General features: G+C 46.7%; 1 pseudogene; it reads left to right on the top strand.

Annotated features, from left to right (window-relative positions):
* LOC100996737 (proton channel OTOP1-like) overlaps positions 1-6,779 on the top strand; it is a 34,019-nt pseudogene extending 27,240 nt beyond the window's left edge.
* Positions 6,780-15,753: the final 8,974 nt, after the last annotated feature.

Raw genomic sequence — 15,753 nt, 5'->3', positions numbered from 1 at the left:
ACCTGCTGTATGCCAGGGACTATGTCAGGGGCACAGCAGTGAGTCAAAAATTGAAAGAGTTAACAAGAGAGATAGATACTGTAAGCTGCATTTTTTTGAGGTGCTTATTCCAAAATGCAAATTCTTATAAAGTCAGAGCTAGTTCTAGAATCTTCCTCAAGTATATGCTTTTTGTACATATCCTGTGATTAATATTAATATACATATATTTTGAGATGGAGTCCTGCTGTGTTGCCCAGGCTGTAGTGCAATGGTGCGATCTCGGCTCACTGCAACCTCCGCCTCTTGGGTTTAAGTGATTCTCCTGCCTCAGCCTCCCGAGGAGGTGGGACTACAGGCATGCAACAACCATGCCCAGCTAATTTTTCTACTTTTAGTAGAGACAGGGTTTCACTAGGTTGGTCAGGGTGGTCTCGAACTCCTGACCTCAGGTGATCTGCCTGCCTAGGCCTCCTAAAATGCTGGGATTACAGGCGCGAGCCACTGCTTCTGACCTAATATTTCTTTTTAAAACTAAGTTCTGAAAAGTTGTCTTTCCCTGGTTGCCTTTTTGGTTGACCACTGGGTGAAATACTTGGCTTGCATTTTTGGACCCACTTGAAGAAAGATAGCACTGTCCGAAATACCAGAATCAAGTGGCAATTCATGGTCTGTCAGGACCCGAAAGCCAGACCCAGGGCCCAGTCCAAGGAGAAGGGTGGGCTCCGTCTCTTCCTCCCTGTGCTTGGCCCATGATGCCCCCAGGCACTGGTTGGGTTCTGGGGGGTTGAACCAGAGGATGGAAATCATCGCAGGGTGGAGTCTTAGGATACCCGTGCTGGCTCATGGGTGGCACTTTGAAACCTTGTGGTTGACCCCAGGTGGTGCCAAAGGCATCTGGCAGAGAGCAAGAGCTGTCTTCTCCAGCATCGGGAGCCAGTCCAGAGGCCCCAGCTGCAGGTGCTGATGTGCATGTCCAGGTGGAGTGGGCTCCACTCCAGAGACGGACATGGAAATGTTAGTTGAATTTCCAGGAGCCGTGGCACTGGAGACAACAGAGGGTGGTTGTGGTGACCGGGAAGGGCAGGGTGCTGTGGGAGATGGGTCAGGGAAGGCCTCTTCTAAGGAAGGGTGTGGATGGGGCTGGGATGAGAGACTATCAGGGCAGAGCTGCAGGTGTGGGGAAGGGACGGATGCAAGGCAAGGCAGGGCTCACTGGACATGACCTGGGAGCACAGAGCAGAGGGCAGAGGGGAGACCACACAGGGCCTGCGAGCCAAGACTCAATCCTAAATGCAACAGAAAACCATGGAAAGGTCTACACTGAGAGTGACGGGATCTGACTCATGCTTATTTTGTTATATTTTTAATTGTGGTAAAAAACTCATCAAATAAACTTTCCCATTGCACCCACTTTCAAGTGTATAGTGGAGTAAAGTACGTTCACATTGTGCAAACATCACACCATCCATTTCCAGGTTACTCTCGTCTGGCAAAACTGAAACTCTGCCCCCATTAAATATGAACTCCCCATTCTCCCCAGCCCCTGACAACCACCGTTCTTTCAGTCTCTAGGAATTTGACTCCTAGACTCCTCATATAAGTGAATTTGTGGAGTATTAGTCCTTTTGTGATTAGGTTATTTCACTCATCATAACATCCTCCAGGGTCTCCAGGTTGCAACTCGCAAAGGGTGACAGACGCCAAACATGACCCCTGCCTTCACACTTGAGTTCCTGGGGAGATGGTGATACTATGTTGGAGATGGAGGAGGACTCTGGAGGAGGGGCAACCTTGGGAGCAGTGGGTGGAGGTCAGTGTGGAAGGAAGAACCAGAGTTAAGTAATGAACGTGTTCTGTTTCAGGTGCCTCTGTGGCATCCAAATGGACGAACCCAGTAGACAGATATTTTGGTTTTCTATTGCCGTGCAATGAACTACCACTAATGTATGACAAAAGCAACATGCATGACTGTTTTTGTCCCATAGCATTTATTGTGACTCGTGGCTTTGTGGGTTAGAAATTCTGGCAGGGCTTGGATGGGCAGTTCTGTTCCTCACAGCATCAAGTGAAGTTGGTGAAGCCTTGGCCAGAAGCTCCGTGGTCTGGTGCCCTGGGTGGGGGTGGCTGGGAGGCTGGGCTCAGCCAGGACTCTTGACTGGGGCATCCACAGGTGGGTCTCCAGCATGACGTCTCAGGGTGGTTGGACTCCATGCGTGATGGCTGAGGGCCCCAGAGCTGACCCTCCAAAAGACTGAACTGGAAGCTGCCTGTCTCCTAAGGCCTGGGCTTGGAAACTGCATGGTGTCATTTCTGCCATATTTTATTAGTCATGTAGTCACAGAGTCCATCTAGATTCAAAGAAAGAGGTCATAGGCCACTTCTCAATAGGATAAGTAACAAGAATTTCCAGCCAACTAAACAGCACATATAAAGATGTGGATTTCAGAAAAGAGGTCCCATTTTCCTGCCTTCCTTTCTTCTCCCTTTTCCTCCCTGTCTCCCTTGCCCTTCCTCTCACCCTTCCTTTAAAAGGTGTCCCTTAAGTACCTACAGAGGTACAGGGACTGCTATGAATGGTGAGGGTACAGCAATGACCAAGATCTCTGGTCTTCCTCTTATGGGGCTTACAAACCAGGCAACAGCAGGTGAAACCATCAACTGAGCAAGAAAGACACCTTATAGTGTACCCGTGTTAAGCAGAGAAGTGGAAAAGGAGGGTGTGGGAAATAGCTCTTGGGCTGCCATTGTAGATCAGATGGACCAGCTTAGCGGGAAGGCCTCGCTGAAGGGTGACACGAGACAGGAAGGGGTTGGCCACGCATGTTCAGGGCAGAGGGAACAATGGCTGGTATAAAACCCCCAGTGGGAGTGAGCGGGTCTGGTTTGAGAAACAGGAAGAAGGGTTGCCTGCAATGTGGGTGGGGTGAGTGGAGAGAAGCGTGGGTGGTTAGAAATCAGCTAACAGAGCACTTTATCACTCCGTGCGGGAGTGTAGAATTTATTTTAAATATTTTGGGAAGACTTTAGGGGTTTAATCAAGGTAGGGACAGGATCTGATTTCCATATAATGTAAATCTGGTGGCCGAGTGGAACCCTAGTTCGAGCTGGGAGACCAGGCACGGGGCCACCGCCATGGTCCAGGTGAGAGAGGCCAGTTGGACAGGTGGAGAGAGAGAGCCACAGGTGGGCTGAAGATACTGCTTTGGAGGTGCACAGTGGAGATGCGCTGAGGGACTGGATGGGAGGGGGCATGGTTATGAGAGTAGGAGGGAGATAAGGTTGACACCTGGAGCCTCGATGGACCACCTGGGAGGACGATGTAGCTGAGCAGATGGAGAAATGGGGAAGGTGGGTTGAGTTTGAGATGTGTTTTAGACACCCAAGTTGCCACCGGAAACTATGAGTCTGGGGTTCTTGGAAGTGGTCCAGGCTGGAGATTGAGACTGGGAAGTCATAGGCCTATAGCTGGTATTTACAACCAGGGACTGGGAGAGAGCCCCAGGGTTCATGTGTAGAGAGAATAGAAAGGGACCCAGGAATGAGCCCTGGACGCTGGCTAACATTAAGAGGCAGAGCAAAGGATGAAACAGCAAAGGAGACTGGGAGGGACCCGCCGAACAAGTAGGAGAGCTCCTAAGAGTCACAGCAGCCAGTAAGCAAAGCAGAAGAGAGGGGTCTTGGTTCCAGGGCCCCCGTGGTGTATACCAAATGCACAGATGCTCAAGTCCTATACTTGCATGTAACCTACCCATCCTCCCGTACACTTTAAGACATCTCTAAATTACTTAGAATACCTAATACAATTTAAATGCTATGTAAATAGTTGTTACATTGTATTGTTTAGAGAATAATGACAAGAAGAAAGTTTGTACCTATTCAGTACAGACACAACAAACCATTTTATTTTTTTAATTAATTTATTTTTATTTTTTGAGACCGAGCTTCACTGTTGCCCAGGCTGGAGTGCAGTGGCATGATCTTGGCTTACTGCAAGCTTCGCCTCCTGGGTTCAAGGGATTCTCCTGCCTCAGCCCCCTGAGTAGCTGGGATTACAGGCACATGCCACTACACTTTGCTAATTTTTTGTATTTTTAGTAGAGATGGGGTTTCACCATGTTGGCCAGGCTGGCCTTGAACTCCTGACCTCAGGTGATCCACCTGCCTCGGCCTCCCAAAGTTCTGGGATTATAGGTGTGAACCACTGTGCCCAGCCTACTTTTTGAATATTTTTGATCTGTGGTTGGTTCAATCCACAGACACAGGTCCCTGGATACAGAGGTCGGCTGTATATACCAGGGAGTGTTCTGTATGGAGATACAAATGAAGGCTATGTGTCTCAGTTACCTATTGCTATGGAAGAGACCACCCCAATACTCAGCAACTTAAAACAATGTACATTTATGATTTCATAGTTTCTCTGACTTATGACTCCAACTACAGTTTTAGCTGAGTATCTCTGCACAGGGCCATTCCCAGGCTGAAACTGTTGGCTGGGGCTGCATTCATTTCAAGGCTTGACTTTCCGAGAGGTGGCAGAGGATTTGTTTCCAAATCTACTCATGTGACTGTTGGCAGGATTCAGCTGTGGCTTGTTGGGCTGAGGGTCTGAGTTCCTTGCTGGCTGTTGACAGGGGTACTCCCTGGGCCCCTTGCCGCATAGGGTGCTTCGCAGCATGGCAGCTCTGCCACCTGTCTTTCAGGAGAAGATGAGCAAGAGGGATAGCAGGTCCTTTTGCAACCTAATTTCAGAGGTGACTTCCTGTGTCTTTTGCCATATTTTGTGAGTTGGAAGTGAGTCATTAGGTGCATCCCACACTAAAGGGGTGGGGACTCCACAAGAGGGTGACTGCAGGAGCTGGGGATCATTGAGGGTCATCCTAGAGGCTGCCTGCCACAGCCAGGGAGTGGAGGAAGCTGAAGAAGGGTGCAGCCTGAAGCGGGAGTGAGGAGCCTGACAACTCAAGGGGTGGCAGAAAGGGAGAGAACTGGGACAGAGAAGAGCCTGAGAAGCAGGGAACAGTGTGTAGGTTCTGTGAGCAACACAAACAAAAGTCACTGCTTTCAGTTTTGCAAACTTAATTCTCATCTAAGCCCTCTCAGACACGTGTTAGAATTCCCATCTTTCAAATGAGGAAACTGAGGCTGGGCGAGGGCTGTAGAGATGGAGAGAGTTGGATGGGTTCAAAGAGCACTCATTAGGGATGGATTGCAGGGAAGGGTGGGTGAGGAAGTGAGCAGGATCATGGCAGACATGGATTTGGTGGTTTCTGTGGAGATGGGAAATGCCACGAGGTCTCCTTATTGTTCTGTCAGGGGTGACTCAGTCCCCGTGCATCAGGGTCAGCTCCCATGAGGCCTGGGACTTGAGTGGGGCCTCCGTGGTGGCTTGGAAGCTGCTCCCCACCACAGGCCATTTTCTCTTCTCTTGCAGCTTTGGATACCTCCCGCTTTTGGCTGTCGACCTGAGTATGACAATGGATTGGAGGAGATTGTCTTTGGCTTTGAACCCTGGATAATTGTGGTCAACCTGGCCATGGCTTTTTCTATTTTCTATGCAATGCACGCAGCTGCCTCCCTCTTTGAGGTCTATTGTAAGATATAGTCTGGGTCCACAAGAGACTAACAAGTGACTAACAAGAGTGAGCTAACAAGAGTTCATTGGAGCCAACTGGGAATGGCCAGGTTGGACAAATATTGCCTGACAAACATGAGAAGGGCCACCTTTTGTCTGCAAAGATTGTGCTTCCTGTGGGCTGGAACTGCCCATCACCCCTGATGAATGTAAACAAGTTAGATCAAAATCCATAAGGTGGCTGGAATCTGTCCTTGGTTAGTTAAATGCTAATCAAGCCCAAATTATTTTATTGCCTTCTAAATGATTTAGAAGAATGTGATTCTGGCTTGGGAAACAATCTATCCAGTTTGTTTTTCATAAAAAGCATTTTCTTTGTGTCATTTATCATGTGACTCCATACAACCTTTTCCTGACCACCTGCATAGTAATTTATACTTTAAAAATTTATCCTTCTCAAAGCCTATGAATTTAGACACAATCACTATTGTTTCTGAATAGGTTTAATTTCTTGAAGTTATTTTTATCAGCTGGATAGAAATTTGTATACAGACCCATATAAAAACACATTTCTTACCTGAAATGTTGGCACATTTTTGTGATCATTTTCAAGTATTTTTAAAAAGAAATTTCACTGTTCTCTCTTTCACTGTAAATACACACATGTTTATTGTAAAAAATTTGGATATTTCAGAAAAGTAGAGAGAAAAAGTCACCTACGATGCCATTGTTCAATTAACAATTACTTTTAATATCTTGGTGTATTTCTTCCGACCATGTTGATGAGATTCTTTTTATTGTCATTATTATACCTTTGAATGGTGATGTAACATATTTGATTTTGTATTCAGTTATTTTCCTACTTAACAATATGGCATAAACCTTGCCCCCATATTGTTATAAGTTCTTTATAAATATCATTTTAATGCTGTATGATAGTCTATCAAGTGAATGTACCTTAATTAACATAGTTTCCTATGGTTGGTTTTACAGTGTTTATAACTTTTTGCTTTTATAGGTAACTCTGCAAAAATCAACCATATTTGTGAAGCATTTCCTATATTTAGAATTGTTTCTTTAAGATATGGAATTACAATTAGGATGCCTAGTCCAAAGATTAAGTTTAGAAATATTTCAAAGGTGCCTAAGGAATATTGACATTTGGGAGGCCTTTGTATAGTTTTTCCACAGCTATTTTAAAATAATAATAAAATTAATTTTCTTAATGTAAGTATTAATGTATCTTTTCATTTGAGTGTATTTTTTTTCAGACAGTGCAGGCAATGGGACAGTAATAAATACAAAGTTTTTTTTTAACATGACTAAAGTACACTTATTTTAGAAAAAACTAAAAAATAGGCATATATACTAAAAAACAAAGGAAAGCATCATCTATACATGTCCCATCTAGAGAATCGGTTCTCCAACTGGGGACCTTGTTCCTTGAGGGGACATTTAGCAATATCTGAAGACATTTTTTAATATTTATTTTTTATTAAAATTAAAATAAATCTAAATTATACATAATATTTATACATACTTACAGGGTACATGTGATATTTTGATATAAACATATAATAAATAATAATCAAATCAGGGTGACAGATATTCATACCCTCAGGTATGTATCTTTTTTGTGTGTTAGGAACATTCTAATTTCACTATGTTAGTTACTCTAAAATATACAATAAATTGTTGTTAACTATAGTTGTACTTTTGTGCTACCAAACACATTTTTGATTGTTACACTACTGCACCCAGGGATACTGCTAACACCCTACAACACACAGGACAGCCCCACCACAAAGTCTTTGGGCTGATTGTCAATGGTGCTGAGGTAATCTAGAGGTAATTGCTGTTAAGTATTGTTATCTAGGTAGCTATTAGTACACACACACAGGCTGGACATGGTGGCTCACGCCTGTAATCCCAACACTTTGGGAGGCCACAGAAGGATCGCTTGAGGCCAAGAGTTTAAGACCAGCCAGGGAACACAAACATAGTGAGACCCTGTCTGTACAAAACACAAAACAAAAAACCCAGGTGCGGTGGAGTATGCCTGTAGTCCCAGCTACTCATGAGGCTGAGTGGAGAGGATCACTTGAGCCCAGGAGTTTGAGATTGGGTAGTGAGACAAGATTGTGCCACTGCATTCTAGCTTGGGTGGCACAGCAAGACCCTGTCTCTAAAAAATAAAAATTAAAAAAATTATATATATATATATATATATATATATATATATATATGTATATATATATATATATATATTTTTTTTTTTTTATTTTTTTGAGACAGACTTTCACTCTTGTCACCCAGGCTGGAGTGCAATGGCATGATCTTGGCTCACTGCAACTGCCGCCTCCTGGGGTCAAGCGATTCTCCTGCCTCAGCCTCTGGAGTAACTGGGATTACAGATGCCTGCCACCACGCCCAGCTAATTTTTGTATTTTTAGTACAGACAGGGTTTCATCATATTGGCCAGGCTGGCCTTGAACCCCTGACCTCAGGTGATCCACCCACCTTGGCCTCCCAAAGTGCTGGGATTACAGACGTGGGCCACCGCACCCAGCCGATAATTTTTTTTTTCAAAAGTACGCATACATCGACACCCACACCCACATGAAGGCGGTGTTTTTATGTATACTGCGTTTGTATGTAACTTGCTTTTTTCCTCTTGATACACCAGAGTGCTTCTTCCCTATTTTGGGTCCCAGGCATCGATGCTCTGGCTTTAGTGTGCCTGAGACTCATCTGGGGAACTTGTTAGGATTCCTGCCCTCCAAGCTGGAAGTGCAGATTCAGTCTGGAGGGGGGCCCGGAAGTCTGCACTTTCATGAGCATCTCAGGGGGTGCCAACTCCCTTTGATAAGCATCTCCTTGGACGTCCATGGACCCCAAGCTAGGACTCCTGAGTAAGTTTCCTTGACATTGCATATCCATATGCAGTATGATTTTGGGTGGATTTAAGGTACATTCCATGGAAGGATGTACCATTCTTTATTTTTTCAAACGGTGATGTTGGACATTTAGAGATATTTAGGTGGTTCCTTTTTTTGGTGCTACTGTAAACAATGCTATGGTGATCATCTTTGTAACTCAGTCTTTGAGGTCAGAAACTATCCTCTGGAGTGATTTATGCTGACTAAGCAGTGACTGAGCAGGAATACAGGTTTCCCCATTTTGGTTGGCATTACCTTTACCCCTGTTCTAAGCACATTAGAAAAGCCCTGAGGCCTCAGCTGTGGGTTTTGGGCTCTTCCAAGGAGACAAAGGAGCTATCATAATGCTGGGAATGATGGATCCAGGCTGTGGGGATGCTATTGTGGACACAGGGCAGCATCAGAGCTTGGAAAAGCCTGCATGGCTGGCCAGGCTCAGCGTTTCCAAGAAAGGATCTAAAGATGGATGAAGCATCTCCTATCCTCAACAGGCAGCCTCAGGGATGGCTATTTCAGCCAGGTGCTTTTTACCTCCAAGTAATTAAGCATCCTGACTCAACCAGCGTAGGTGGCAAGGAAAATTTACTATCTTAATGCCAAGGCAATTTGCCAAAGAGGAACCAGAATGTGCAATACACAAGTGTTAAGGTCTCAGGGAATACAAATTGAAATAATAATGAGTTACCACTTCCCATTCATTAGATTGGCAAGAGTTGGCAAGAAGTGAAAGAAAGACTCATATATACTGCTAGTGGGAGCGTAAATGAATAAAATCAGATAGGACAGCAATTGGCAATATTGACTAAGGCTGGAGGTACACATTCCTTACAACCTAAGAATTCTGTTCCCTGGCATGTGCTCCAGAGACAGCCTCACACCTGTGTTCAGGAATGTTCACTCAGCATAATTGTAATTAGGAAAATGGAAAACAGCCTAAATGCCTGTCAATTAGGAGTGCAGATAGACACACTAGGGACAATTTCCATAATGGACTATTTCACAAGAGGAAAAAATGAACACAACAGAATTCATGTATCAACATGGATAGTCCCCCAAAACAATGTTGAATGAAACATTAAGTAGTGTAGGGGTATAATTGGTATGATACCATTTATATGATGTCTAGGAACAAGCAAAACAATCCCTGATATTGCTGGGGGATATGTCCATATGTAGTAAGATTACAAACACACCTGAAGAAAGAATGCATGCCAAGTTCAGTGTAGTGAGAAGGGGAGGGGCTTGGAACCAGCAACTGAGTTCATGCTGTGTCCGAAATATTTTTTCCTAAGCAAAGATGTATTCATTATGTTTTCATCTGCACTCTTAAAATGTACTCTTTAAATGTACTTTTAATGTATTTTAAAGAAATTTTAAATGAGATATTTAATAATACAAGTATTTGAGAGCAATAAAAAAAGAAAGTCCATACAAGGAAGATGAACTTAGAGAGAGCTACCAGAGCAGGTAAATTTCCAGCATTCTTCCATCATTGTTGAGAGATGGGTGTCAAAGCCAGTGGTGTTCTGTTCTCCTTGGCAGGTAGATCCCCAAGGTGGGGTAGCTCAATGCAATTAGCTGGTAAGATCACCGGACTCACTCTTCCAGGGATGACTCCGTGCACATTAGGAAACCTGACATTGGTTTGCCTTCCAATGTCGCTCTTTGCTGTGGGGGCAATGCCCTGGGCACACATATTATCAGAACAATCTGCAATGGACTGGATGTTTGTTTCCCCCTTAAATTCATATGTTGAAGCTTAATGCCAATGTGGTGGTATTTGGAGGTGGGGTCTTTGGGAGGTAATGAGGTCATGATGGTAGGACCGTTGTGAATGGGATTAGCGCCTGTAAGAGGGGGCCAGAGAGCTTGTGCACTTCTTTTCTGTCATGTGAGGATGCAATGAGAAGACAGCTGTCTGTGACCTGGAAGAGGGCCCTCACCAGAACCCAACCATGCCAGCACTGGCACCCTGATCTTGGGCTTCCAGCCTCCAGACCTGTGAGAAATAAATGCCTGTTGTTGATTAGCCACCCAGCTTGTGCTATTTTGTTACAGCAGCTTGCACTGAGTAAGTTACTCCCTTACCTGCTGTAACCGTATACAGGAGGGGCCTGTGCATTTGGTAGCTTGGGTTCCTCCCTGAGCCTGTGAAACTCAGATTTGAACTCATGTATTTTGGGTGCCATGACTCTTGTCGAGGCAGAGTGAAAGGGCAAGGGCATGGAGCTAGATATCCAGGGTGACAACAGGCTCCCATGGTGCCTGAGTGTGCATTAAAAAAAGCACCCCTTCCACAAGACATTCTCCAAACTGTCGAACCAAACCCACCAGCATCTTCCTACCTGCCCATGTGCCGGGGTGGGGGGAAAATTAGACATGTTTGTCTCCCCACTACAGATGTCGGCCAAAAGATCCAACTGGAAAATGCTTGCTACTACCTTCCAGTTTCACGACCCTCTCAGCTAAGGAAGCCCTTCCTGCATCCATGTCTCTCTATGCCTGTCTGTGAAGTCCCAGCTCACAGCTGACCTGGTTAGGTAAGCACTGTTATTTTGTTTCAACGGAGGGAACCTTTGGATTACATGTACATAGCTAGTCAGTGGCAGCATTTGGTTCATCACGCTGGTTTTAAAAACTCCATTGCCTTTTCTCTTCATTAGTCCTACCATCTTATGAAGAAAGTCAACTCAGTAAAAATATCCGTCAAACAATGGCTTAGGGATATGCGTACAGAACAATCAAATCAGCTGACAGAATATCTGGCTTTTCACCCAGTTATAAAATGTTGTGCTTTGCTTAACATGGTGAAGAACGAAAGCTGCTAACAGCTGATTTCTTTCTCCCAAAATGTGAGCCCTGCTATGGGAGAGCGCAACCAGCAGGGGGTGCTGGCGTCTTTCCCTGAACTTCAGGGCACGCTTGAGAGAGGGTACCTGGCGGGTGGGCAGTGGCCTCAAGTTACCAAACGAAGGGGTGGGCGCAAGGTGTGCTGATTGGACTCCATTGGCTGCGCTGGGTTCCCGTAGCGTATGTGAGAGATACCTGTCACCACTTCCCGGCTAAGACCCAGCCAGTTTCAGCAAGGACGTTCCCTCCACTGGACCCACCAGGACCCACTCCCTGCAGGGCACCATGGTCCCTCTCAAGAGGCTTTGGAGGAACTTGGGAGTTACAGGGTGTTCCCCTGATGGGAGAGTCCCTGGCATGCCGCGTGTGAATGGGACTGAGTTGGGTGGGGGAGGCTGGGAGGGCACTTGTGCTGGGTGTGATGGGGGAATGTAGTCCATGTTAGTTCCTCCTAAGAGCAGCCACTAAGAGGACTCTGGGGAGGGACAGATGGGTGCAGTGTTTTAACCCACAAATGGGAGGGTAATTCTGGCATGATGGTGGTTTTAGCAATGTTAGTAATGCACGGACCACCATAACCATGATAGTGAAGCTACATGTCTAAAAAATGTAAATCAAATCAGGCCACCTGCTAAAAACGATTCAATGGTTTCCCATTGCCCCCCCTCCCTTTTTTTGAGGCGGAGTTTCGCTCTTGTCACCCAGGCTGGAGTGCAATGGCATGATCTCAGCTCACTGCAACCTCCGCCTCCTGGGTTCAAGCGATTCTCCTGCCTCAGCCTCCTGAGTAGCTGGGATTACAGGCGCGCGCCATAACACTTGTCTAATTTTTGTATTTTTAGTAAAGATGGGGTTTCACCATGTTGGTCAGGCTGTTCTCGAACTCCTGACCTCAGGTGATCCACCCGCCTCGGCCTCCCAAAGTGCTGGAATTATAGGCTTGAGCTACCGCGCCCCGCCCTCCCATTGCTTTTAGTAGAAAATACAAACTCCTACCCGTGGACTATTGGGGCTATCACGATCTGGGCTCTGCATCTCCATCTTCTCATGCCAGTCCCATCCTCTGCCTCCCCAACCCCATCGCCCTTCCTCCTGCATGGCTGCAGCCACACCTGGCTTCTTCTCTTTAATATTCCTACCATGCCTGCCCCACAGGACCTCCGCAGGAGCTGCTCTCTCTGGGGTGTGCACTTCTGGCTCAGGGCAAGGATCCATCTTTCTCACCCTTCAGGCTGTGTGTAGATAGATGTCCCTCTGTAGTGAGGTCCTCACTATCCAGCTCATTACGCTTCACTTCGGCACCCTGTCCAGACCCTTCACAGTCAGCTGCCAGCTGTGTTTTCTTATTTATTGGTGCTCATCCAGTCCAGTCCTGGATGGGACTGCCTGCCTCATGAGGGCATGAGCTTTGCCTTCTCCTCTCCCAGAACCTCCCTGATGTGGTTGCTTGGACACGTGGGCCACCCTCCCAACACCAGACTATCGCAGGGTGCGGGAAGGCCTGGGGCCGCCGCGGGCCTTGAGGATCGCCATGTTTCCTTCTCTAGTTTTTGAGACATTGGTGAAGATCCTCTGCCTGCTTCTAGCACACACATCCTGATCTCCTTCTGCCTTCAAGACACAAGATGGCGCTTTAAGCCTGGTTGTTAAGAAAGAGGACTACAAACGCTTGAGTTTCTTCCCTCTGCTCGCTCTCAGACGTGGCTTGCGAGGGGATTTGTGGGGTCCACCTCTCCACAGCTTGGTGGGTGGGTTCCGTCCTCCTCCTCGGACAGGGCAGGACCAGCAGCCAATCACTCCTTCCTGCCAGAGAAGGAAGTGGCGCTCAAACTGTTTTTCTGACATCAGTAATATCTGCCTACACTCCTCCAGCAGGCATCTCTGAAACATCAGTTTTGGGTGATTGGTCTAAGCCAAGCACCTTTGATAGCAAGGGTAAGCTCGCTATCCTTTGCTGGAGATGGGCACGGAGAGGGCATGTGAAGAGTGCCAGACCAGGCGTTGACAAACTATGGCTCATGAGAAGAATGGAGTGTACATTTTTAAAGGGTCATCTCTCTCTCTCTCTCACACACACACACACACACACACACACACACACACACACACACACACACAGAATATGCTGCAGAGATCATATGTGACCTGACAAGCCTAAAATACTCACTATCTGGTCCTTTATAGGAAATGCTTACTGACCTCTGGTCTAAACACTGAGAGGTAAGGGACCTCTGCTGCACCGCCCTGGAGGGATTTTTGATCCCTAAATAAGAAGAGGTGAGGAGGAAGCCTGCCCTTCCTCCTGGCCTGAATGTGCTTCTGAGAGGCAGTCAAGCCTGGAACTGTGGCAGCCGGCTTGTGACCATGAAGAAACCAGCCCAAGAAGAAAGGCCAACCTGCCAAGGAGGGAACAGGAGCCTGGGGCCTCGAGGACTTTGCTGAGCCTTCGTGTGACCCTGGAGCCACCTTCCTCTGGAGTTCTTGTGATGGCAGATAATTCAATGTTGTCATTGTTCAAGCCAGGGGTGGGCAAACTTTTTCCATAAAGGGCCACATGGAAAACATTTTAGGCTCTGTGTGGGCCATGAGATCTCTGTTGGCACTACAACCCTAAAAACAACCATAGACAATGTGTAAATGAATGGGTACACCTATGTTCCAATAAAACTTTATTTATAAAAATAGATGGTGGGCTGAATTTGGCCCTGAGGGCCAGAGTTTGCTGCGTATTTTGTTTGTTTGTTTGTTACTTGCAGCTGACCTATCCTAACTAGTACTCCCTGAAGTCTGCCTCAGCTCAGAAGCGTCCTTGGGTTCCAAGCCACAGGGGCTAAGCTTGAGTGTGGGTGGGGTCTGCAGCAGGGTGGTGGGAGGGATAAGCACATAAAGGCCCACACATTGATCTGCCCTTTCTATGGTCCAGGTCGTGCTTTCCTGCAATATCTTCTCATCATGGGCCTAGCAATCATGATGGGAAGGCCTCACTTTAAGAGAATGCTTTCAGCATTTCCAGGCAGTCCCTGCTTGCCCTCAACACTACATGTAGGCCTCAGCCTCCACACCTAGCATGTTTGTTAAGCAAGACTAAGCCACATGAAGCAACAGGGCAAGGGGAGGGCCCTTGTGTTCTCAGGGTCCCACGGCAGAAGTGTGGTTCCGGGAGAAATGGGGGAGTGTGCCCTTCCCTGAACAAGCATATTCCCTCAGTGTGGAGGAGCCCCTCCAAAATTTACAAGTGCTGTGATGACACGATGCTCATTCAGACCATCAGCTGCAGACAGATTGCAGAAATATGTAAGGGCTCTGTCCTTGGAGGTAGGATCTGGTTGCTCCTTGTTCCCTAAGCTTGGCCCTGAAGGGAGGGCAGGATTCCAGCCAGAGTGAATGAAGAGTGAGGCTTTGGGGAAGGGCTCGGATTGCCTCTCGTGCTTGTGTTCAGATTCCTGCTGATTGGTTGTTCCCCAGGGAGACGAGGCTTCGAGGCCAGGTCTCTGCTCTGAGTTAACTTCACCACCCTGCACCTTGGTGGCAGTAAGAGAGCGACCTCAAAGGGCCGCTGAGAGAATTGAGGTGGATGCCTGTACAGCTCTAGTTATGGCACCCATTCCGGCCCCTGGCAAGCTCTTACTACGGTTGCAGGTGTAATTTCCAGTCTCTGCCTCCAGGGATTGCTGCTGAGCACAGACACGTTTCTCTGCTCACAGAGTGAGGCCGCCAAGATGATTCTCAGATCTCTGGTTCTGTATACAGCCCAGATAGCCTGTGAAAGGGGGAATGATAACCCCCAAAGATGTCCACGTCCTAACCTCCAGAACTAGTGAATGGGATGTTGGCAGAAGAGACTCTGTGGATGAGATTACTTCAAAGATTTGCGACGGGGAGACTATCGTGGGTTATCTGTGTGGATACGCAATGTAATCACAAAGTGTCCTTATAGATGAAGAGGGAGGCAGAGGAGATTCGACTACAGAAGAGAAGGTGATGCTACCGTGGAGGCAGAGATTGGAGTGATGTGCCCACAATTCACAATGCCAGCAGCCACCAAAGAGGCAAGGAATGGATTCTCCTCTAGGGCTTTTACCAAGGGTCCTGGCAACACCTCAGTTTTAGTCCAGGAAGACTCGTTTTGGATTTGTGACCTCCAGAACTATGAGAGAATACATCTGTGTTGTTTGAAGCTGCCAGGTTTGCAGTAGTGTGTTAGAGCAGCGTGGAAAATCCATTGAGTCCCATTGCCCTGCTTTTTATGCCTTGATGCCTTGTACAAAAGCAGAAAATGGTATGGATGGAATGGGAGGTCATTATGTTAAGTGAAACAAGCCAGGCACAGAAAGACACACATTGCGTGTTCTCACTGATTTGTGGGATCTAAAAATCAAAACAGTTCAACTCATGGAGCTAGAGAGCAGA

This window comes from Homo sapiens, chromosome 1 (genome assembly GCF_000001405.40).
Source record: "Homo sapiens chromosome 1, GRCh38.p14 Primary Assembly".
Taxonomy (NCBI): Eukaryota; Metazoa; Chordata; class Mammalia; order Primates; family Hominidae; genus Homo; species Homo sapiens.
Note: the sequence above shows the minus strand (reverse complement) of the source record. Positions and strands in the feature narration are given on the sequence as shown.